At 38.7% G+C, this 26,443-nt stretch overlaps 1 protein-coding gene across 3 annotated transcripts in view; it reads left to right on the top strand.

Annotated features, from left to right (window-relative positions):
• The window catches only part of RBMS1 (RNA binding motif single stranded interacting protein 1), a 221,657-nt gene that overhangs the window by 189,549 nt on the left and 5,665 nt on the right, over positions 1-26,443 (top strand). Inside the window, exons 5-12 of one of the 3 annotated variants that reach the window (XM_047445368.1) lie at positions 772-929; positions 3,529-3,608; positions 17,175-17,290; positions 19,215-19,264; positions 19,391-19,484; positions 21,955-22,002; positions 22,895-22,945; positions 25,601-25,711. In XM_047445368.1, coding sequence (XP_047301324.1) covers positions 772-929; positions 3,529-3,608; positions 17,175-17,290; positions 19,215-19,264; positions 19,391-19,484; positions 21,955-22,002; positions 22,895-22,945; positions 25,601-25,711 — 708 coding nt within the window. The remainder of the gene's footprint in view (positions 1-771; positions 930-3,528; positions 3,609-17,174; positions 17,291-19,214; positions 19,265-19,390; positions 19,485-21,954; positions 22,003-22,894; positions 22,946-25,600; positions 25,712-26,443) is intronic. The other 2 variants (NM_002897.5, NM_016836.4) reach the window with 2 other exon arrangements.

Here is a 26,443-nt window from a genome sequence, read left to right as displayed (position 1 = left end):
CTGCTTAAGTAGGAAAGCTGAAGCAGTAGTGACTGACAAAGTAAAATCAAACTCCTTAGATAGCCTTTTGCAAGCCTCTTGACTTCTGCTTGATCTTTGGGTCCCAAGTCAATGCCATGTCCTCTGAACAAAGTATTTCCTTTCCCATCTACTCTTGAGTTCAGCTTTTCCAAGAGTCTAAAATTTTCCCTACCCAGAATTGACTATTTTATACGGCTTTGTTATTTCTTGTTTTCGTTAAATTACCTGTTTTTACTGTTGGTGATCATGACTCAAAAGTAGTGTGAACTTTGCCATAGAGCAGAGGACGGAAATTTAGGCAGATCCCTATTGGATGCTAGATGACTTGGTCCAGAATCCTTCATGTATCTCTAAGTTGAATTATTAGCAATAATTAAATTGAAATAATAGCTTCCTGCGCAATAGTGTGCCTGAAATGGACTCCTAAAAATAACAGTGGAGGAGAGGTCAGTTATTTTTAGAAACACCGCAAACAACTGAGAGTTGTGGTTCCATGAGGGCATCCTCTCCAACTCAGTAGTGCCATTTCCAGATCTGCTAAGAAGGGCTTGGTGGGATCGTGTCTGGCCTGCACAGATTGTCCAAGCTTCAGACACTATTTTCAAGAGTCCAGGGTGACTTTGGTGTTCTGAGGTTCTGAGTACTTTAAAAGGACTTGAGCAAAGAAAGTAGCTAATAAAAATAGGTGTGTTAACATAAATATCTCACCTTCTGTTGGAAATTAATGGACAACACTCTCTTCTGTTTTAGCAACAGGAACAAGATCCTACCAACCTCTACATTTCTAATTTGCCACTCTCCATGGATGAGCAAGAACTAGAAAATATGCTCAAACCATTTGGACAAGTTATTTCTACAAGGATACTACGTGATTCCAGTGGTACAAGTCGTGGTGTTGGCTTTGCTAGGTAAGCCTTCTGCCCAGTCTTTATTATGTCAACAACAATAGCTTTGCCAAGTTATCTTGGAAAATTAAAAATGACTAAGAAGAGACAGTTTCAGCTAGGGTTATGGGAGCAGTTGCACTGTGAACTTAAATTATGTGTAAATACCAGACTGCATTTTTCCAGATCTTTTGCAAGTTCATTAGAATTCATGAAGCTGAGCACACTAAATATTTGGGTCCTTATGGAAAGGAACTATCACATGAGCAAAAGTTCTGAACGTGTGTGTGTCCTTAGATCATCAGGATGCTTCTAACTTTTTAAAAATAACAGTCAGTCTCCTAAATTCAATAGATAAATCAGTATGTTTTTTCTTATTCGATGGAAATTTGATTCATCAATAAAGTAAATGAGTTAGGTTTTAAAATGAAATATGTAAAACATTCAGAAAAGTAAGACAAGGACATGATAACTGTGTAACCACCACACAGATATGACAAATACTAACATTTTATAATTTCTATTTCAGATTTTTTTTTTTTTTTGTGAGAAATAAAACCTAGGCCAGGCATGGTGGCTCATGCCTGTAATCCCAGCATTTTGGGAGGCCAGGCGGGCAGAGTTCGAAACCTACCTGGCCGGCGTGGCGAAACCCTGTCTCTACTAAAAATACAAAAATTAACTGGGCCTGGTGGAAGGCACCTGTAATCCCAGCTGCTTGGGAGGCTGAGACATGAGAATCGCTTGAACCTGGGGGATGGAGGTTGCGGTGAGCCGAGATCACGCCACTGCACTCCAGCCTGGGCAACAGAGCGAGACTGTCTTAAAATAAATAAATAAATAAATAAAATCTTCTAGGGGCCGCATGCAGTGGTTCACACCTATAATCCCAGCATTTGGGGAGGCCAAGGCGGAAGGATTGCTTGAGCCCAAGAGTTTGAGACCAGCCTGGGCAACATAGTGAGACCCTTTCTCTACAAAAAGTTTAAAAATTAGCCAGGCATGGTGGCACATGCCTATAGTCCCAGCTGCAGGGGAAGCTGAGGCAGAAGGATTGCTTGAGCCCAGGAATTGGAGGATACAGTGAGCCTTGATCATGCCAGTGCACTCCAGCCTGGGTGACAGATCTGTCTTTAAAAAAAAAAAAAAAGTCTAAAAGTCTAGTTATAGCTAAAGTGCCCTCACTCCTTCCATCTAATTTTTTATCTTTTTCTCCCCAGAAAAAAAACACTTCAGAGTAGTGGTTATTTTGGTTTCTGATGGAAAAATACTAAATAGAAAGCTCTTTGATTTTGATCAGAATTCTAATCTAAAAGCCCATGTATAAAAGCTGATTTTTATATGATGCATTAATTAGAAACTTATTAATACTCTGCAATAACAAATAATGTGTATATATTTTAAAGTAATGACTTTGATTTTGTAGGAAGAATTTCTGAGGGTTTGCTTTTATACACAAATGACAATCACATCTTACCTCAGACCTGTTATATATCAACAAAGCATTATTATTATGTTGTTTTATATAGAAGAAAATTGAGACAAAAAAGGGAACTTTTCCATTGTTACCTAACTGCCAAATAATGAAGCAGGGGCTAGTACTTGGTTCATCTGGATTTTAGTTCATTGCTGTTTCTGTCAGGCCAGTTAGTTTTATCATAAAACTAAAACATCCTATGAGTAGTAAGTCACCAAGGCCAGCATCTCCAGCATGTGCTCCACTTGTTAAAATGACGCAAGTGAGTCACTGAATAGCTCAGCATCATTTTGTCACCTCTGTGGGTGTTCTGAAAACAGATCAAGTCGTATCATTTCTGTATCCAAAGAGAGAATTCAATTAAATTACATTGTTTTTTGAAACTATCACTGTTTGTTAAAACTAAGATGTAACTCTCTGAGTAGTCCAGGAGTATAGAGTGTTTTTAGTAGATTATTCAGTGTTGCATCCATTAAAGAAAAATGATTTGAAGTAATTTAAGTTCCCAGCAATGTTTCTCAGATACTTTCAGCCACCTATAGGAATTGACTAAGTTGTAAAGTTAGCCTCCAGCCTTTACTCCTCCAAAGCCAAGGTGACAAAGAAAGTATATAGTTGACTTCACTAATTTAATTTTAAACCTGAAGCAAATGTAAGAAGCATATAAGGCGCACCCTCTCACTGATACTGGCTGTTATCATGACTTTTTAGTCTGTCATTTTGTGAATTTGTGAAAGCAAAGACAATTTTAAAATGACTAGTATTTTAGCAAGTAGAAAATACCCTAGTATTTTAAACTGTTGTATCTGCAATTCACTATTATGGCTAACAAAGCTATTGTGTATTGATTTTTCAATTTTACAACAATTACAATAAAATTATCCGTTTGATATACTTGATCTTAAACACTCAGTAGATTCTTGCTTTGCTTCAGAATATACTCTATTGTTATCAGTTGTCATTTTACTATAGAAGTACAAAAGCAGCAGTTAGATAAAAGGTAGAATAGACCCTTTATCATATTCACATTTTTACTAGGTTTCATTTATATCCAAAAAACCTATAAGAATGTTTATGCATGCACCGAACAAGATGAAAGTTAAGAAACCTTTAAATATTTATGTATTCTATTTTTATTATAAATAGGATGGAATCAACAGAAAAATGTGAAGCTGTTATTGGTCATTTTAATGGAAAATTTATTAAGACACCACCAGGAGTTTCTGGTATGTTGTTTGTCTGAAACTTCATCAGTAGTCTTCTATATGATGTATGTTTAACTTTAGCACATGATGACTCTTCAATAGAACAAAAACCCCTCATTTCACTCTTTAAGATGCATTTTGTTGGATTTAGAAATAAGACTTAAAAATTCACCTCTCCCTAGGCATAGGCATTGGATGTTTAAATGTTAATGGAAGCAGTGGTAAGGAGCTGACTTGTAAAGCATTGTGCAATTCACTCCTCTTTTGATGCAGCAGCCAGCTTCTGAACCACCTTATCACCATCCTCAGTGAACCTCCCTTCATTTGATCATATCCGTTGAGCACTGTGGTACCTTTCTATCCCAGCAGTGCCTAGACCTCAGTTCCTATGGCCTTTATGTCCACTCCACTTTAGCCACTTTCTCCCATGGTTTTACATTGTGTTGTCATTACCAAGAACACCACACTTCATGGGTTTTTCATTCCAATGTCACACTTACTCTAACTCCCACAAACCCTGATCTGAAATACAAAGGGATCCTTCTCTTTTCACTGTTTATTCATCCTCCTTTACCTGTTTCTCTTTCCTACTAAGTCTGGTCTCCATTTTTGAGTGTTAAAATCATTTCTTAAGTGGCATTCTCCTTTTTCTTGCACCCCATCCCTTGTTCACACTGTCATGACAGAATGCTGAACCTGAATTAATCCTGCTGTAATTCACGCACACCACTCCTGTTATATCCATGCAGCCAAAGATTGGCACTACCACAAATTAAATGTCTTCAGCTTAATCAATTGCTCAGCACCACCAGTCCTCACTCAGCTTCCTTACCCTTCCCTAGCAGCAGTTCTCAATTTCCCCAGCCTGCTCAGTCCCCTACCTAACCCCCTCCCTAATCTCAAGTGGATGACTTCACTTCCTACTTGATGAATAAAATTGAAATCACCAGCTAGAAGCTCCGTCAGCTTCCTGCTCTCTCCCAGCAAGGGGACCTACACCCACATCCAGTCTTATCAGTCCCCTTTCTTAAAGTCTCATGTACAAGGGTTTCGAAGCTGTCCTTGAGGTGCCGTCTCATTGAGACATTGCTCTGCCAGTCATTGCCTTGCTCTCCTATAATTTCAGTCTCTGTCTTTTGCTTTTGTTCATTTTTTTTTTCAGCAAAGCCGAGAAATTTGATTTTCAGTTACTAAAATAGATATCTAGCAAGACTAATTGGTGACGAAATGGGGGGAAACGTGCAAACAAGTAACACTAGGAACAAAACTTGTGAACATAACTACAATAGACATTTTTTAAATCACAGGATTCAGTGAACAAAAACTATGAATTACTTCATGCCAAAAATATTCAAGAAGATAGCCATTTGTGTTTGAAATCATTTAAGTCTTTACAATCTAGAAACTAAACTAAGCACTCTGGTTCCTTACAGCACCTTCTCATGTCAACATTTAAAAGTGTAGTCTTCACTTCCTTACTTCCCATTTATGCATCACTCTCTCCAATCTGACATTCCCTGGTGTGTGGTTGAAATTCCTCTTGGTAAATGCGCAATATTAGTTAGCTAGACAGCCATAACAAAGTACCACAAGCTGAGTGGCTTAAACAATAGAAATTTAGTGTCTCAGGGTTCTGGAGGCCAGAAGTCCAAGATCAAGATGTCAGCAGGGTTGGTTCCTTCTACCCAGACACCCAAGCCAGGCTATGAGGGATCTGTTTCAGGCTTCTCTCCTTGGCTTGTAGATGGCTGTCTTCTCCCCGAATCTCCTCACAGCACCTTCCCTCTTTGTGTATCTGTCTCTGTGCCCAGATTTCCCTTTCTTAGGAAGACCGCAGCCATATTGGATGAAGGCCTACCCCCTCGCCATGATCTTACTTTAACTTTGATGACCTTGTCTCTAAGTAAGATCACATTCTGAGGGCTGGGTGTTAGGACCCCACACAGTTCAACCTGTAACTCTTAATTCCTGATTACCCCATCTGGAGAATTTCCCCTCTTTTTATCCTGTGTCTGTCTGCTGTATGTATTTGGGACTGCTGGCCCCTCACTCATCCATGAAGTGCGTCCTCCCTTGACTACTTTTGCACCTGTCTCCGTTTTCTTCCCATCTTGTGTTAATCCTTTCTCTTTTGTAAACTTATTTCTTCTATCTGCTTTTAATTGTTAGTGTTGCCTTGAATTCCATTTTTTGGCTCAGGATTCTGATAATTTCATCTACTCTCAAGGTTTTAACTACTACTTATATTCATAGTCATTGACTCTCATTCATCTCTCATCCTGGCTGTTCCCCAGAGTTTCAGACTGCCTGACCTCAGTTACCTTATATTCATCCTCTCCAGAACTACACTAGTCCCCCTTACCTCACTTCCCATCTAATTCTGCTCTTCCTCCTGTTTTCCTGCTCTCAGTTAGTGGAACCAGTATCTACCCAGACTCCCAAGCTAGAAACCCAGGACTGGACTCCCCTACCTCCCCTGTGCTTTGTATCTCACATACAAATAATCATTCAAGTCCCCAAATTTTTCTTTCTGATTATTTCTAGAATCTACCTTCTCCCTCCCTTTCTTCTGCCACTGCCTAGTTTAATTTCTGATCATCTCTCATCTGCACCATTGCATCAGCCCTATTTCTTCTTACCTCTCTAAGGTATTCTCCCTGACTGTAGCCAGAGAGACTTAGATAAAATATATACCTATGTGTCACTTTATTGTTAAAAATCGACCCCCTCTCAGTTAGAAGGAAAGATTGAGGATTCCTGGAATGGCATGGAAAGCCAAAGGTGACAGGAGCCCTTGCCTACTTCTGCAGTCCTGTCTCCCTCCATCCTCTGCCTTCCTGCTTATCCTCCTCCAACATTGAACTACAAATGGTATTCCCAACACAGCGTGCTGCATCATTTTTCTTGGCTTTCTCTCATGGTTTCCAATGACCCAGATCCCTTTGGTTCCCTTTAGCCTGGCTGTCTCTTCCTCAGCTTTCAAGACTGTGTTCAGGGCTTGCCTTCTCCCTGCAAGGACCTCCTCTGACCCAGTTGGGTTATGCTGTGTCTGCAGATCATCACCTTGAGGACACCTCCGTGTGTGCTGTGGCACTTAACATGTTTACATGTGTCAGTCCCACTAAACTAGAAGCTCCTTGAAAGTAGAAACTGTATCTTCAGCTTTTTATTTTCATGCCCACCACAACTTTTGAGCCATACTATGCAACAACAAATATTTGGTGGTTTTGAATAAATTTTACTACACTGTAACACCAGGCCAATACCATGTTCTTAACAAGCTACCATGTGGGGGGAAATTGAAATGTCTTCTGATCTGATTTGCAGCCAGCCACTAGCATGCCACCTGCCAGAAAGGAGAAAGTTTCAAAATTTAGAAACCACATCACCTTGCTTTGAGGGGGAGGTAATGAAATTGTTAAAATGGGGAAAAAGAAAAAAAGCCACATACACCCTCCTCCATCTTTCTCCCCTGTAATTTTAGTCATCTTATGTTTAGCTGGCATAATGCATCTGTAATTCTACTTCCCAATCTGTATCCCAGATCAGCAAGTCTTCTTTGAGCCTTAGGTCCATGTCAGCTAAAAGTCCTACTTTCCAGCTTCTGCCCAAGCATGCCCAAGGGTTAAAGTTGAGGTTTCACTTAGTGTTGGGTACAGGTCTGGAGAGGGAGCCTTTAACTGCTACCCTGGCCACCTGTTTGTTGGAGTGTCAAGTGGGTTCACCATATCAAGAAGATTTATCCCAAATACTCAGGCTGGGAGAGCAGACACTGGTGCTCATATCTGAATGGGGGAGGAGTCTCTAAAGTGAGCAACTGCCACAGAATCCACAAGAATTAGAACAGAGTGCCCCATTTGCCAAAACACAGATTTTTGCCACTTTTTCTATGCAAAAATATGTACACACTGAAGTTAATAGATTCAGTGAATTGAACCTTATTAAATAACATAAAAAAACAGGTCAGGCCCAATCTTGAAAGCAAGCACAGAGGCAATATAGAATATTTATCCCAGTTTTTCACATGAGACACAGCCAAGAAACATTGAGGTGTTTTGAAGTTAGATTCATTCCAGCCAGAAGTCATGGAAGAGAGCAGTTTCTCCAAGGCTGTGCACGTATAACTAGTGTTTAGTATTTATTCCGCCGTAGCTCCACTGTTTTATCTTTAGCTAGATGACTGATGTTTACCATTAGAAATTCACTTTAATTTTCTGTATTCAGTTGCTTTTCATTTCATAGAGAAACTAATTTGTATGTGCAGTTCCACAGGCTACACCTGATCTTGTAATACTAAAACCTGAGAGCACACTGCATCTGTGACTGTATCTGAAGTTGAACTGCTTACATACACAAATTTGGAGCATAAAATATAAAACCTGGAAGTAATTATTTCAAGAAACTCAATCTAGTGGAAGAGATTCCTTTTTTTGTTTTTTAAGTTAGTATTGTTTTCCCATCAACATCAGTAGAGTTGAAAAAAAATGGAAAGAGAAAATAATGTTTTTAACTTCTGCCCAAGTAAAGACAAAGGAGAAATTTTGTACGTGGGAGTCTTCTGTAAACCCTACCCTGTCAGCCTCCGGCATTGAGCACCTGTGCCCAGCTGGCGTTTTCTTGCTCCTACGGTGTCAGCCTTTGCACGAGCAGGGCCCCACACATTAGTCCCTTTGAAGGGACTATTCCACCTACTTGTGACCACCTATTCATCCACCTACTTGTGACCTCTTTGCTTTTTTAACTCATTCTTGTGTGCAACAAGGAAAGTTTGAGAAGGAAAAACATCTAGGACACTTTTGTTTTGATGGTGTATCAGTCTAAGATAAGATCTTCCCTGTTGAAGGAATGGTTTGCTAAATTAATAACAACAAAAGCTCTTCAGTTCCTTGAATACAGTAGATCTCAGGGTGTCACAGATCAAGGTTAGACAGTCTCTTTTTTTCTCTAAAGAACTTCGTGGTTTTGTCATTGGTGTTTTCTTTGAAGGGGGTTTGCAGACTATTGGTCACATCCATTCAAGGGAAATAAAAGCCCTAGATTTCCAAACCACATGTAAATGATCGTAGGATCCTCTTCACCTTCACAGCTAGTAAAGAGTAATTTCTTCCAAGCTGTGCCAAGTTACAAATGGAGCACAAGAAACAGATTAGTTCCTTTTACATTGAGAGCGTTACTGCAGGGGTACAGTTTTTCAGTCAAGCTGTTCACTTTGTTCTGAATTAGCACTTAATTTTGTGCCATTTTGAATGTGTAATGATCTTTTGAGTGTGTAAGTCTTGGTTGACAATTAGATTGCATGTTCTTTGGGGGCAGGAGCTATGTTTTCTTTTTAATTTTGTGCTAGACTCAGGGAACTTGTGCATCACCCTACCACCAGAAGTTACCAACAGGTTTCTAAGAGCATTTTTCATGCAGAGCTCTTCCCAAGAATTATTGCTAATTTGAGGGCCTTTTTGGATACCACCTTTTTGCACAGGAGGTTAAATTGCCTTTAGGCATGAATGTTAAATGTATAATGCCAGACTTGGAAGCACACTGGCACAGTGAATTCAGCTTTTTCCAAAACAAGTCCCCAGTAGACTTGAAAACCCACAAAGAATGTGAAAGAGTTTTCAACTTCTCTAGACTTCTTTTTTCTTTTTTTTTTTTTTCTTGTATACATGGTGACTTCAGAATTCTTTTGAGTACCAGTTTGTGTATTAGATACTGTTCTTTCTTTATATCCCCTGAATGGTTACTCCATAGCATCAGTTTCTCTGTGGAGGGCATATGATTATTATCAGAAGAACCAGATAAAAAACAAAAATATTGTCAGGCAGGGGTCAGTTGAATGAGCCTCCACTTGAATGTTTGCATAATGTAGTCTCATTGATAGGTAGACATAACATTTCATAAATACAGTCAGAAGACGGTTTATTTAATGATGCAAGTTGTTTAGCTGGCGTAAGCAGAATTATCTGGGATGATTCCTGTCAGAATACTTGGATTCTTGCATGGCTGGCAGTTTGCCCATGACATTGGAGCCAAGTACAGAAAAGAAACCCACGTTAGACACAATTCCCGAAAGATACTTTCTCAAAATGAACAAACTGAACAATGAACTCATCCTAGCTGTGACACTCTTAAGGAAGTCTCTAGATGACTAAGCAGGAGGAAGTCAGCTATGCACATGAGCTGTCACTTCTACACTGCCTGCCCTCCTGCCACCATATTCTTTCCATACCCGAGTGGCATGGCTGGGTCCCTCATGCCAGCCATGTTCCACTCTGGCCTGGGGCATGGCACATAATAAAGCACATGGTTACAGTTTTGTAAAAATCTAATGTACCACATCACAATTTCTAGTGCCGTCTGCTTTCTGAAATGCTCTTTTAAAATCTTGTGCTTTTGTGTCTGATGTCACTATATTTTAAAAGAGGCTTTATCTTTTCTTATAGCAGATGTTTCTTTAAATGTATATTATAGTTTGTTGGGGGAAAAAATAATTGCTTATGTGGCCTTTCCTTCTGTCTTTCCCCACCCAGTCCTGCATTTTTTCCTGAAATATTGGAGGTGGCTTGTTTGTATTAAGTCAGATTTACATGGAATGTCCCCAACCAGGGTAAAAGAACCCATGGCTTCTTCATGACACAGCTAGGTGAATTCCATCGAGTTTTTCCACAACCACTTAATACTTGCTTGATAAAAATTCCATTATGCAGAAATAGTATGGTGGCAGTTTTCTACACAATGAATGTTAGAAACAGAGATGGGAAGTTTTAGTTATCTAGAACCAGTGTCCAAATTAGGAGACATGCCTCAGGCAAAAACACTGAAACACATGATCATGATTCAGTGATTTGTCTAAAAATGCTCTTCTAGGACCTTCCTGGAAGAGAGTACAGTCTTTGAGAAGACTAATGCGTATGGCATGTGAGCTGGAACTATCCTAGAGCTGAGAACAGCTCTGGCGCCCTGACTCCCTGCACAAACACCTCTCCCCCTCGCCACCACCACCACCTCTCAAAGACAAAGGCTAACTGTGTGTTCAGTGCTGCAGGAGACAGTATGATTTCCCATCTCGCTTTCTGAACCTCTCCATGACATTAATGGAGTGTGAATAAGTCCCTGTGTGCTAAGGGCAGGGAATGCCTGTTAGATTCTCAGTGTTGCACTGTTATCATTCTGCCACATCGCTCACAGCTTCATCTTGTCACAGAGGAGCCTCAATGAAGTGCATATGTGTCTGCTGGCAGACTCCCTTCAAAGGCTTCAGCTTGTTTTACATCTGCTTTCTGTGTTACTCTGACTTTTCCAATTGGTTATGTGTCCAGTGGGGCTTGAAAACCGCTCTTGCCCACATTTCATAACTCTGTGTGTATAGTGATATTATGAGGGCATTGTCCTATGCCAGGTAGCAGAAAAGATAATGTTTAGAGGGAAAATTATGAATCTAGTAAAAGGCCTGGAGATTTTTCAAAGGTTTTTATTGCCCATTTTGTTCCCTTAATATTTCTCTTAAGCATTGTTACCCTGTAAAAACAGAAAATTTTGGTAGCTCTAGGACAAAAGAAATACTTGAAGACATGTGGAATGTCCCTGGTACCTTCAGGATGTGCAGTCATATCTCCCTCACCCGGTACATAAAACAGAACTGGATCTGAACTCACACAGCATCATGAGCTGTACCTTTCAAGGGCTATACTCTTAAGAAGAATTGTTGTCGTGACAGCAAAAGCGCTGGAACAGGCCTAGGTGGCCAGTGGGGCAAGGGCGGTCTTGCAGATCCAGAATTCAAATTCATTCCTACTGAGGAGGAGAAGACTAGTTTTTAAAAAGTGACAGGGGCCCACAACCTGAGATGTGCCAGTGTTCTAGTCCCCACACCAGGCTTATGGTGAGGCTGCCTTACAACAATTATCACCATCGATCACACCCAGCCTACAGCCAGCCTCACAAATCAACATTTTACACCCTTTCACGATCAGGTTCTGCCAGTGAGGAGTAAATAGTGGAGTAAGATTTTATTAAAGCACAAGGCTCTTGGGTAGAAGTTGTAGGTGTTATTGTGTAACAGTTTTCTAAAAGACATTGACCAGTAACTTTATCCTTAACTATAACTTCAACATTTCTTCATTCTGTAAGAAGCCAAGGCAGCAACTCTAGCCAGCTCCTTAAATCTCTCAGATTCAAATCCCATGGATAACAGGCCAGTCCCCAAGTGTTTAGACCTTCTGAACCAGAAGTGTCCCTCTCCTGAGAATTTTTCTTCATTTGAAAACAAGAGGAGGAGCCATAATTCAAAAGTTTGAGCTCCCCCTGTTGCCACAGTAGTTAAGAACACTAGCTCTTCTAAGCACTTATTATGTTAACTATAACAATCTTTTGAAGTAGGCACTATTATCATCCCCATTTCAGAGATTATGAGACCAGAGACATTGAATAACTTTCCCGGAGTCACTAGCTAGTAAATACAAAAGCAGAATTTTAAACCCTTGGAGACTAATTATGAGCCAGTTAGAATACTGGTTAGAATACCACCATACAGTACACCCACCACTATAGCAGTTGGCACTGGAATTAAAAAAGATTAAGATCCACACACAGATGTTCCTGCGGTGTTAGTTACAATAATAAACTATGCAAATAAAATACTATGTCACCATTAAACAAGGTAGAGAAGGACCCACAACATAAATGGTAGAAGAAAAGGACCTATCATTGCAAATGTGAAAAATAAATGGCTCTACATAGACTTAGAAAAGTAGTAAATATAGAAAATTAAAAGATGTTTGTTGGAGTCATGGGAGGTATGGAGTTTTTGTTTTGTATTTAACATGACTTTAATATTGTCAAATCATTGTTTTACTGATAAACAACTCTTAGTTGATGGGTTGGGAAGTGAGGTGAAGGAGAATTTCAATAAGAAGAAAACTCAAACCCAGCAGGAGCAAAGCATGACTATATATAATCAGGTAACATGATTGTAACATGACGATATTACAAATGTTACTCTCTTCTCAAACTGGGTTGGAGATAGAAACACTACCTAAGGCACAGGGGAGGAGGAGAAACCTAAACAGCCTCGGGAGGAAGAACGTCCACAGAGAAAAGCTGTAGCTCTTCCTAGTGGTTGAATAGGTCAACAGAATTCAGTTAGAAAAGGAGAGGGCTAAAACAGGAAACGATGTTGTGCCCATAAAAAATAGATAATATTTATTGGATCCTTATTGAAATGTTTTAAAAGCAGCAGCTAGTTCCTTGCATTTTGTGAGTTGAGGAGTGTTGAAAGTAGCCAACATTATCAGAAAGAAAGCTAATTACAGTTGCTGAGTGGACTAGTTTTCCACAGTGGATAGGGAAGCTTCTATCAAGGGCAGTTTACATTTTACAGTGTTTTGATTAGGATAAAATACAGCATAACTAGAAAGATGGAAGTTTGGAAGTGACAGTTTCTCCACCTGTTAACTGCTGTCAGCATCTGACAGGGAAAAGCACGGAGAAGACCTTCGTTAGAACCTGCTGAGGAAAAGATCAGTTCTGTTACAAACTCTAGAGAGCTCCAAGTCCTTCCAAGCTGTTTGATAAGTGAGGAGGACTTGCAGATCTCATCATGAGCTACAGTGCTTACTCAGAGCAGGCATTCTAGAAGTGATTTTTTAGTACAAATATCAAAGAAAGACATTGGAGCACAAATCACTGTAGAGTTAAGTTTCAGAAGATCGGTAAGGAAAATACTCGGTGGAGATGGGCAGCAAGTCAGCCTGAGCCTTATCCATGGAGCTCACAGTCTCAGGAAGGATTGTCAGTACCACAAAATCAAGCTTGTGTAAGAGACCATCCCACTCTCAAAGCTCTGTTGAGAGCACACTGGAGAATCCAGTGACATGATTACCTTAGATGGCTCTTAAGAGATGCCGGAAAATATTAGATCAGTGTTTGCATTGCAGTGTTGCCTGGGGCCTTTAACAAATGCTCAAGGTAACACTGCAGTTGTCAAGCTGTTGGAGATGCATGTTCCTGTTGGTTCTGATGAACAGGAAAATAACTCTTTAGTTTTGGGTGATGAGAATGAGAATCCCTTTACAAACCCAAAAGATCACAACTAATTAAGGGGAAATTTAACCTAGAATGCTCTGCATATTTGGCAAAATCAGTTGATTTAAGGGTAGGTTATATCATTTTTATAGTACTTTAACACAGGAATACATCTTAAATCACAAATCATTTGTCAGAATTATTTGTAATCACTGCTTTGCAGAATAAGGTAAAAAGTTGCTAATCTGGAAAAGTAACCATGCATATAGAAGATTGACAGTTACATATTAATTTTTATATTAATTTGGCCAAACTTACATATCACTCAAAGTCATATGACTAGTATTTATGGCACTTCCTTTTCTGCATGTCAGTCTTCCGGTATCTCTCCCTTGTAAAAAACAATTGGAGTTCAGCTGAAAGGTACGCTCTATAGAACAAGCTACTGTCACATAGGATCTCCTGATTCTTCAACCTGTAACCTGTATATTCAGCTCCAAAAGGCAAACTAGGGACTACCGCTGGTTTGGTAGAAGCCACAGGAGATGCTGGCCAAATGAGGATCTCTCATTTTGTAACACGCTCACACACACTTAAAAATAAGTGGGTCATGACATCAGTGTGTTTTGTTTGTTTTTCCTACCCAAAAATCTAACAGATCATCTAACCCTTGCTCAACATCATGGTAAGACCACATATCAATTACAATAAGTCAGGCCCTTTTGCCACCCTAAAATACCTAAAAATTTCTTAAATCTTGATGTAATTTGCTTTCCTAGGGCACATGGACAATCTTTGTAATGAATAAAACATTAAGAACTTATAGGGAGAAGCTGTTTCTAATAATGTCCTTCAAATAAATGGAACAGCAATTGTCAAAGAAATACAGCTGTTTCTGCATCAAAAGTATTTTGCTTCTGGTTAGCATTTTTATTGAAAACAAATACCTCTAAAAACAATGCTCTGTTCCATAAATGACTAAATGGGTTTTCATGAGATTAGGTACACTCTTTTCTCCATTAAACTGCAAGCCCCAGGGAGGCAAGGACCCTGTTTTATCTACCACTGTATCCCCAGCTCTTGTGTACTTGGCACATAGTGGACATTAAGTTAAAATTTTGATGGTTAAATAGACCAAAGAGAATTTTAAAGAGGAAAGCTGTTAGAATTTTATATTGCTTCACATGGAATATTGGGGTACTCCCATTTCCCTGAAACAAGCAGCCAGCAACTATCTCAGAAATGTGTCATTTTTACTGGTTATAATTCTTAAAAAGCTTGTTTTCCTAAGATATGAAATGCCTGCCAGTATACAAACTGTTGTAACTACTTCCCTTTTTGCTTTTAGCGGGGAAAAAATAGCTTAATGACAGCATAGAATCATGTAGTAAATATAATTCATTTTTTGAAAGGTTCAGCTATATCCTCTTCCATTTGTTTATTTTAAATGATCTAATTGCAAACATGTCATCACTCCCTTGATGTTTACCTCCTTGTTATGCATTTTTAGCAGGCTTTATTGTCACCTGAGATTTTTTTTTTCTTTGACAGGCTGGAGTCTAGATGAAGGAAAATGTGTTAGAAGCACCTTATCCACAGATGGGGACACTTGGTCATTCAGCACATGTTGAGCTTAGGCAGGCATCAGGGTCTGGCTGCTTACCTGCTTTTATTCACACCTGCCTGTTTAGGTGGCCTGCACTGAACTTCTAGAATGAGTCCAACCTGATCATTTACTGTCTCTGAAAGAAATTATGCTAATAGAGAAAAACGGCCAGTTGGGATCACTTGCTGAGCCAAGTAACTTCTTTAAAAAAAACAAAAAAAAGGTTAAATTTCAGTCTAGGACCTAGTTTTCATAAACCCTCTAGATAAAAGCACCTCGTTTTAGAGAAGACCCACTATGTACCAGCACCACCAAATTTATTATCTTCTCTCTTGCTCTACGAGATTATGTGGAGTCAACATCTTACAACCTCAAATGTCAGTGGATAAACCTCTCTAGATCTGGGCCAAGGCTTGCTGATAGTCTCACCAGACACCTAACATTTTTGTTCCTGACTCGTCATACCCATAGTCCAGTTGTCATTCAGAAGTGAGTTGGCATTCCAACCCATCCCTCCAGAGTGGTTCACACCAGGGAAAGAAGAAAGGAGTGCCAGGCAGCAGCCCAGACAGCTCACCCAGAAGGAGTTACAGTTGGGCTTTTTGTTTTCTTTTGTTTTGTTTTTTGGCAGAGAAGTGTTGAAAGACACTACTGCTTCCACCCTGTCATTAGTGGGTGGGTAATCATGAAATAAAATAAGAGATGAATTAGGATAATAAGAGGCACAGGAGAAAGGAGTAAATTTTCCACAAGTAATATTTTTCTCTTCGTGGTTATTTAACTTTGAAACAGAACTTGAAAGTAGTAATCATGGTTCTACAGTAGACAAAGGACAGAATGTGGGAACCAGACAGGAAGGTGTGATTGCCTTTATTACATTAACTAGAAACACAGAAAAATGCACAACTTTCTGGAATACACTGCTATTTCCATTGCAGAAAAGCAAAGAAAAGGAAAAGTTACTGGTGCCCTATTGTGCTGTCTGTAGACTTTTTTTTTTTTTTAACTCTAATGAGTATATATCTTTGAAAATATTCTCTACATCTTCTGCTTTTCTGTTTTGGCCTCATGGATTCTGTAAGAAGAATTTATATAAATGTATAGGTATATAGTAATATATATTATAAGTAATATAGTAATAATATACAGATCTATATATAGTGGTATATAGATATATAGTAAAGCAATACCCAGTTGTATGATTAAAGGCACAGAAAAACCTTTAAATAGGGTGGACAAGTATTTTTAGCTTTCTCACAACAGCCATCTTCACTGACGTATCCCAAAAATAAACATATGAGACCTATTTCTATTCATTCACTGATGCAACCAAGATGTAATAAGCAACTACAAAGTCCAGACACTTAGGCACTGGGGATACAGTGATAGACAAAACAGACAATGTTACTGCCCCCATGGGGCGTATAGCCTAGAAGGGGAAACAGACACCAAGCAAGTAAACATACTCACCAATTGTTACAAATTGTGAATAAAAATATATGTGCGAGCAGTGTAGAGGTGGCTTGTTTTCTACTGGGAGAAGTGAAGGGTCCCTCTTAGGAATTATAATGGGACGCTAAGGGACCATTTTAAGTTGGGGGAGGGGAGGATGGCACAATCCTATTGAATTTGAAGATTATTTTGGTGACGGTCCAGAGGTGGAATTGGAGAGGGCCCAAAACCAAAAGAAATGTGTCTACTCTTAAGTGTGAAAGTGAATCGAAAGATTCCTTTGCTTCCTCAGAATAGTTATTTAAATGTTCAGAAATAATAACTAGTATGTTTTTCTGCACTATGTTTTTCATCGTGGACAGTTTTACAAAGGTCTGAGTAAACTGCTTTTGCCTTAAAGTGTTGTATGAATTTTCTAATAGCGTGAACACTATTCCTATTTTTGTAATACATTTTGTCATCCACATACACGTATCATTGTGGTTTCATTTTATTTTTCTCTGTTTACTTAGCCCCCACAGAACCTTTATTGTGTAAGTTTGCTGATGGAGGACAGAAAAAGAGACAGAACCCAAACAAATACATCCCTAATGGAAGACCATGGCATAGAGAAGGAGAGGTGAGACTTGTAAGTCCTTTCTTGAAACTTTGCGGGGTGGGGGAGGGGGTGTGATCTTGAATGCCCACATGAAAAGTAACACAAAAAGGCATCTTGACTTGGCTGCACACTTCTGAAATAGGTGCCAGGATTAAATCTTCCTTTCGGTACATTATAATTCAAGTGATGCCAAATTAAAATTCTTTTCATTATATATGGTGATAACAGAGTGATTCTCCAGATGGACCGATAGGTGGTGGAAGCAGCTGTGTTTACCAGCTAGCTACACATGAAGTAAAAGAGCATTCTAAATTGCCATAAGAAAAACACAAGTGATTTGGGTTTGTTTTTGGTTTTTTTCAGAAACAGGGTTTCTGTAGGCTAGGCGCGGTGGCTCACACCTATAATCCTAGCACTTTGGGAGGCCAAGGCAGGCAGATCACCTGAGATCAGGAGTTAGAGATCAGCCTGGCCAACATGGCGAAACCCCGTCTCTACTAAAAATACAAAAATTAGCCCTGCGTGGTGGTCCATGCCTGTAATCCCAGCTACCTGGGAGGCTGAGGCAGGAGAATCGCTGCAGCCCGGGAGGCAGAGGCTGCAGTGTTCCAAGATCATGCCACTGCACTCCAGCCTGGGCAACAGAGCGAGACTCCATCTCAAAAAAAAAAAACAAAATAAAAAAAAAAAAAAAAGAAAGGAAGAAACATGGTCTCTGTTGCCCAGGCTGGAGTCCAGTGGTGTGGTTATAGCCTACCACAACCTTGAACTCCTGTGCTCAAGCAGTCCTCCCACCTCAGCCTCCTATGTAGCTGAGACGACAGGGACATGCCACCACTCCTGGCTAATTTTTAAAAATTTTTATTTTTTTATTTATTTTTTATTTTTGAGATGGAGTCTTGCTCTGTCGCTCAGGCTGGAGGGCAGTGGCACGATCTCCGCTCACTGCAAGCTCTGCCTCCTGGGTTCATGCCATTCTCCTGCCTCAGCCTCCCAAGTAGCTGGGACTACAGGCACCCACCACCATGCGCGGCTAATTTTTTGTATTTTTACTAGAGATGGGGTTTCACCGTGTTAGTCGGGATGGTCTCAATCTCCTGGCCTCATGATCCACCCACCTCAGCCTCCCAAAGTGCTGGGATTACAGGCGTGAACCATCGTGCTCGGCCTAATTTTTTAAAATTTTTATAGAGATAGGATCTAACTATGTTGCCCAGGCTAGCATGGTTTCTTAGAGGGGTTTATATTTATAATATTTAGAAGTTATCCTAAATAGTAATCTAAATATTTATATATAAATAGTACATTTATCACTGAGTTGGGGTTTTTTTCACCTCTCTTTTGAATAGTTTTTTTTTTAATTAAAACTCTCAATTTCGTAATAAAATGTTGGACGTCCATTTCCCTGTATTGACTTTCCATGAATTATTATTTTAAAAACAATAACATATTGATCCAAGAATGTCTAGGGAAAATGTTCTAGAATCTGCACTGTCCAATAACAGCCACCAGCCACAGGTGGCTCTCTGAGCACTTGAAACGTAGCTAGTATGCTAGAGAGATTGATTTTTTATGTAGTTTTAAATAGCTGCATGTGGCTTATGACTATCACATGGGACAGTGCAGGTCCAGAGATTAATTTTCATATTTATAGTCATTTTGACTAACAGAAACTCCCAATTTTATCAAATGCTACTAGACTCTAAGTACAAATTCCCCTCCCTCCCCTTTTTTTTTAAGAGACAGGGGTCTCCTTCTGTTGCCCAGGCTGGAGTGCAGTGATGTAATCATAGCTAACTACAGCCTCGAACTCCTGGGCTTCAAAAGGATCTTCCCACCTCAGCCTCCCCAGCAGCTGGGACTACAGGTGCACACCACCACACCTGGCTAAAAATAGAATTTTTAAATCATGCCTTTCTAGATGAATGTTTATATTTCTTTCTCTTTCCCATAGGCTGGAATGACACTTACTTACGACCCAACTACAGCTGCTATACAGAACGGGTATGTCGTTAAAATAAATCCATAATGGCTTGAGGGAAAATGTGAAGGTGGAAAATATCAGACATTTGTTCCATGAATTATTCTATTTAAAGGATTACTTAATAAAGGCTTTTGTGTTTGTTCTAGATTTTATCCTTCACCATACAGTATTGCTACAAACCGAATGATCACTCAAACTTCTATTACACCCTATATTGCATCTCCTGTATCTGCCTACCAGGTTTGTACCTTTAGGATTCGTCAGCAGTATAACCACTTGCGGACCATGAATCTCTGCTACATTTTTATGTGTCTTAAAATTTTGAGCGTTTATGAAATTTGAGTCAAATATTATGCAGCTTGGATACCCAATTTAGTATGAGCTGCTTTGTATTTGGCAGAGCAATTTATGTATAGGAGAATGTAAAGCAAAGGAAAATGTTTGTCAGTGGTCAGTCCTTGGAATCATAGCATTTTGGATTGGAATGAACCCAAACACTTCCTTCACCAAGGGGCCCTGCTTTTGGACACCATGTGTCCCAAAAATTGAAACTTAAGATAATTGCCGTTAGATATAATACAGAATAGGTGTGTACCCTTGCTTTTGTTTATTCTTCAGCAGGAACTGATAAAAGAACAAGTATAAACATGGTAATACATAAAGATGTGTCTCTAGTAGGTAGCATTAAGTGAGCAATGCAGCTGACATTTGAGGTAAAAATATAAAAGCAAAAAGGTGACTTCCTGTTTAGGTTAAGTGAGGAGGCTTTACCTTAAAATAAATTCCCAACTTAGCAACAAAAACTCTTGAAATGTCTTGTATTTCAAGATTTGATTTGATTTTAATGCAAAGGTAGCTCCTGTCCGCCATGAACCCAGTAGTGTACATGCATTTCTCCTCCTGTGTCAGAAAACCTCTAACAGGATTACTTCCTGGACCCAGATAGGAACCTTATAATGGAGTTCAGTTGCAGACATGTGGGAGCAGAGTTCCCTTTTGTTGACCATCAGGATCCTGTGTGACTAAATTTTTGTGTATTCTTGATTTTAAAACAATTGAATTAGATGTTGTAGTCCTAATTTCTGGGGTTAGAGGACTACAATATGTAATCTAATAGTTGTGTTATTTTAACTTCTATAAGCCTCAGTTTCCTCATCTTTAAAATGGGGATAATAATAGTTTCTATCTCATAGGCTTGAGAGAATTATGAAAACCAAATGAGACTGTATAAAGAGCCCAGCCAAGGACCTCACATATCATTATCACTCAGTTAATGTTAGCTATGATTATTATCATTAATATGCATGATTAGGTGGCTGATAATAAGAGTATATTAGTTATACGTTTAAATAATGAATTGGCCAACATAAGCAATGTCATATAACTAATTCTGCCTAAAAACATAAAAATGGTTTTGAATAACAGAAGTGATTAGATACGCTAAAACTGAGGATTGGCATTATCATTCACAGTCTCCTATGCTTCTAGGCTCTTACAGCCTCCTTTCCCTGAGTTGTCACTCGTTTTCTTTTCTTTTTTCTCTCTGGGTTCTTATGTTACTTATTCTGGTGCTTCATTCTGCTGGGCGTAGTATTGACTAATTTAATGCCTCTTTAGTTGTTTTGGATTTAGGATTCCTATCCTTTCTTTGACTGTATAAGACTCAGTGAGATCTGCTCTAGTGCACTTCCCTAATTAACAATTCATGTGTCTGCTATGAAAAGGTAGTCTTTCTTAACTGTCTGAACTTGGAAACCTCTGTCATTTATATGTCACTGAAAATAGGGGCAAGTGTAAGTTATTCTCAGGCAAATGAAAGGTTGTAAGTATTAATTTGAATTTATGTTGCTATAGATATTACAGCTATTAACACATTTCTCCAACACCTCTTTTTCCCTCTTATAATATAAAACCAGTGTGCATTTGGCCACAGAACCATTTTGTACAATAAAAATTAGGAGATCTGTGTCAGTAATAGATTTGATATAGCTAACTAGAAATAACATATTATTTCAGAGGCCTTATTTCCTCTCCTGGGCATTCTGTATTTCTCTAAGATACATATGGAATTTCATTGCATTGCCTGACACTCGGTGCCATAGCCTCAAAGACTGATTTTTAACTACATAAGTTCAGGGACCTAGTAGGGTCAGTGGATGAGCTTTAAGTGATCTGTGACTCCTTAAGTTGTTTGCAAAATGTTGCTTGTGTGTGTGCAATTAAGTGGGGAAAAATGTTCTATTTCCCTAATTAGGTTTTCAGAGGGCTCCATGACCCTAAAGAGGTTAAGAACCAATAGTAAAGAGTTTACAAAACATTATTATTCCCATTTTATAATTAGAAAATTGAGGAATAGAAATTGACAGCAGCTGATTTGCTGCTTAAGAAAGAAAATTAGATGTCATAGTTCCCTAATCCTGTAATGCTATAAGCTATTAGATTATTAAGACCACTGAAGCATATAAAAAATGGGGGCATCTGGCCCAAATTAGGGTCTGTAGGGAGTTGTTTGCCTTCCCATCATATATCCAGTGAGGGCCCTGCACTCATGTTGGAGTGGGCCTTTCTCCACTAAACCACCATAAGCTTATGCAATTGGATTTGAGAAATTGGCAGCTGCAAGAAACCACCAACCCCAATGGGGAAAGGCTACAGTCCAGATAACTGAAATGTTAACAAGGCAGAAGCACTTAACTTTGGTCTGCCTTAGGTGGCAAAGGAAACCAGAGAAAACAAGTATCGGGGCTCTGCTATCAAGGTAAATCGCAATACATTCTTCCCCCATGACTCTTCCCCATATCCTCTCTGTTGAACCTCTGAAGTTAACAATAGGGGATAAAATGCAGGAGGGTTTTGTTGTTAAGAATTGGAAACTGAAACTTAATAAAATTACTTAGACTCTGGAAAGCTCTGGGCATCAAGAAATGGGCTGATATGTTTTTCTCTTGAGTGGCAGACTACACATGCTTTCTTTCCTGCCACAAAACCTGACTCTCACATCTATTTCTCAATTCAGAGGGTCTACTGTGTGGATGCCCATTTGACTGTAGATGTCAAAATCTAGTTACTGAAGTTTAATTTCCTTAATCTGAATTTCAGATTTTTATTTTCTGCACTAAGTAGAAATTGTTGACCACAATACAAGATTTCTAAAATTAATGTCCTAGATATGAAAGAGAAATTGAATTTGGTTTTTTGTATTAAATAAGCACATACTTTAAGGGTTAGCTTCTAATAAGATGTGCTGGAATTAATCGTCATTCATCTGTAATTCTAAAGCACCTAGTTCATACCTTGATTGTTAACACTTTTCACTATTTGAGTTGTTGCTGTGTTTATCTCCCTTGCATAGATAGTAAATTTCTTGAGGGTGGGGCCCAGTCTGTTTCGCCTTTTTCTCTTTGTTGCCTGATACTCAACAATTACTTCTTGAGTGGGCAAATAGAAATTGTTTCTAAATAATCATTTCATCCTGTTCAGAGTGACCAGTTTGCCAAGAATTCTAACTGCCTTAATCTTTTTAATCATTGATAGTATTGTTTCCTTGTTTTCTTTCTGTAGATTTTTAACATGATTAAAAAGAGTTCTAAAGAAATAGGTAAGCTTTACAATGAAAATCAATATTTCTTTCAAAATCCTCCCTTTTCTAGGTGCAAAGTCCTTCGTGGATGCAACCTCAACCATATATTCTACAGCACCCTGTAAGTTTTTTATCTTAATGACTTTGTGTTTTACAAGTAAGTTATGTGTATATTCTCTCTAGGTTAAAACCATTTGCCAAGGGTGGTATAGGATTTGGGAAATTTTAAACATGGAATATGAGAATGTACAATTTCATTATAAAACTTCTTCTCATCCTTATAAAACAACTTGGTAGAAGATATTAAGTTACATTTTCTATAAGAACTTAAAATATATCATATTTGAGGCAGGGCACCATTTTCTTATTCATACCAGCTCTTTAGAGATCATTCAAATGAGAGGCTACATTTTTAATAGTACTTGGGATAAAACCGCTCTCATTTTTTACATTCTGTTTAATGCAGATATAAAGTTCAAAACCGAGATGAAGATTTTCATCAGTGTTACTTGGCCTTTCTATGGAGATTATAAATACTAAAGTGGTAGCACATTATTTGGTAAATAACAAATGTGATTTCTTAATGACGTGAGCATTCATATATATTACATTTTTTTAAATTGAATGAGTTATACTTATTATATAGTGTATTTCATGTGTTTTTCAAAGACACATAAGATCTAGTTTGTGGAAGAAGGGTTTGAAAATTTAAAAATACATATGGAGAACAAAGTTACAATAAGGCTAAGGATGTCCAACACAATGACCCTGCATGCTCACATGAGAAAATCACAAATTTGGCTCTAAGCTTTCTAGTAACTGATGCAAAATGGGAATCCTGGTAAGCAATACAGTTCACAATATGTGTAAAATAAAAACAGATTTGGTTGCTTAGAAAAAGAACTGTATTCTTGGCCTTATGTTCAGACAGCAATTTGTCTTCGGATACCTTTTAAAGTGGATACTGCGATGTAAGACCATGTATATGAAATAGCAATCCAGGGATAACAGGTTCTGAATGAGAAATTGCTGAGATGACCTTTAAGAAGCAGATAAAACATGTTTAGGTGATGAAATAGGAGAGGCGCGCTCTGATATATGTATACGTTTTGTGTGATATATACACATACATATAGATCTATACATGTGCACATACATAGACACATCTTCAAACCCACACTTACCTGTACATGTGTACATAATATACATGCACTGATCCACACATGCCCATAGCAATCTGTGTCCCTGATACTCCATGCTACCCTATTTTGGAATGCTTGGAAATCAGCTTGCTTTGAATTTGAGGACTTCCTATTACAGATGGTGCCAATGAATGAGAAAAAGGAGCAGGAAACTGCTCCACCATCTTCTAGGCTTCTGAGTCATTTCCGTGTTACCACTTGCTTTTTGATGATGCATGTTAAAAAAAAAATTTCTAACAGAATGTATTAATGACAAACATTATCTCTGACACACATCTATATCTTTTTTTCTTTTTGGCAACATTTGAGAAAAAGACTGCACGTATCTGAGCTTAACATCTTTGAGGAGACATTAGGAATGTAAGCAGAAGGTTGCTATCTGAGGATTCATTACCTTTCCCCACCCAGCTTTAAACTGCCTGATTTACATCAGAATTAAAGTTCCTGTACACCTAACTCTGTCCTAGATTGTCTATCTAATTATCAATAAATAACAGTTGTATTTAAGGGATGCCAGGTACAGTGATAACAAAACATACATTAGTAGTTACAGAGCGTGTCAGAATACTTGCATTCTCAGATAATGAGGTGATTGCAAAAGTCCAAAAATAAAGAGTTCATTGAATTTTGGTTTATACAATCAATGTAACCATTTAAAAAAATGATGATAATGATAGTTTTTCAACAAGCTAGGTAAATGGTTAGAATAGAATGCAAAGTTAAGAGCAAAATCCCAGGATATGAAGTTGTTGATGTGCTCTGATTGAACCTGTACAGAAACACACAGAGGCTATGATCTGGCAGTAGTACCCTGACATTGCTAACAGTGGTTGTATTAGACTGGCTGAGTTAGAAGCAATTGTTTTTTTTTTCCCTCCTATTTTCCTAAATATATTTAATTTGATTTTAATGACTAACATTTTTTCAAATTAAATAAAAGAATCTGGACTCAGATTATTAATCATATCTGAATTGCCTTCCCTCCCAGGCACCAAAATGTAACTTAAAGTTCTGAGAAACACTGAGTGAATGAAGAAATGTGCTCTTGATCCTAACAACCTGATCTTGAACCAGACGATTATCTGGATAGAACATTGTTAAACAAAATACTATATTGATCTTATTAAATATAATACATTGTTTGGTGACTGGAGAAAACATCAACTGCCTTTTTTTTCCAGATTTTTTTTTAAGAAAGCGTTTTGTAACCCTAGGCAGGCAGTGATAATCAGTTTGTTTTTCCTATGATAGCTCCTCCTGCTGGACTAGCTTGCTTCCAGTTACTGGAAGTGAAGGGAAAGGGAAGGAGAAGAGGGACACTGGCTTTAATACAGGGATTGTTGTGAAGTGAATGCCAAGATATCATTTCCCCTAACGCTCTTAAAAAACTCTCAGGAAGAGCAATTTAGAAGATTTTTAGGAAACTGTTTATGATGCCATTTGCAAGATTGAGGAAGGTTGTTTTTGCTTCACATTCTTAAACAAACTAAGGTATTTCCTTTGTAAAAAGTAATTACAGGATCTTAACTCTTGCCTCAGTTTGTCTAATTTTGCTCCTGTCTCCAACTCCCCAGGGTGCCGTGTTAACTCCCTCAATGGAGCACACCATGTCACTACAGCCCGCATCAATGATCAGCCCTCTGGCCCAGCAGATGAGTCATCTGTCACTAGGCAGCACCGGAACAGTAGGTGGCAAATAATTATCATGTGTCTCTGTAAACAGAGGAGGGTAAATTAATGCAGCCTGTATCTTCCCTATCAAATGACAGCCTCTATGATAACAGATTATGTCTAATCCCCTCTCTTCCCCCCACATGACCTTCCATAAAGTAAATACTCAGCTATTTCTTAATTAATTGATGAACTGAAAGTCTATTCTCTGGGTATCTCTCCTTTACGAGAATATAGCACCCACACGTGACCACATCTAGCCTTTTATGACTAGTGTCATCTATATAACTAGTACCACTGTCCCTGTGGCAGTGTCATGAAGCGAAAGACGAAGGTAATACAAGATGGTAAAAGCAGGGAATTATTTCTCGCTTATTTCTTCTTTTATGGAGTTTGGGAGTATTGAATCATGGTCTTAATATTGAAATATTTCACCAAAGTCCAGGGGACTCCTTTGGGTAATGAGGTTGAGCTGGCACCAGATCAGCTTCCAGATTTGATGCTTAGCATTTTGCTGGTAAGATGGCTAAAGGATTTTAATTTAGCCTCTATTCTATAGTGGCTTAAAAGAACAAAGGGTGGTGCGTTTTCCCCTTATACACTCAAAACCTACAGCTGTTTCTTGTGAAGGCTAAGCCAGGGCCACACATATCCAATGAGACTGACTAGAAATTTCTCCTGCCTTTGGGAAAGGATGACTGTCAGTGTCAGAAAAGCCAGGCTCTGCTGCCTAATCTGCAGTGACC

Source organism: Homo sapiens, chromosome 2 (assembly GCF_000001405.40).
Source record: "Homo sapiens chromosome 2, GRCh38.p14 Primary Assembly".
Lineage (NCBI taxonomy): Eukaryota > Metazoa > Chordata > Mammalia > Primates > Hominidae > Homo > Homo sapiens.
Note: the sequence above shows the minus strand (reverse complement) of the source record. Positions and strands in the feature narration are given on the sequence as shown.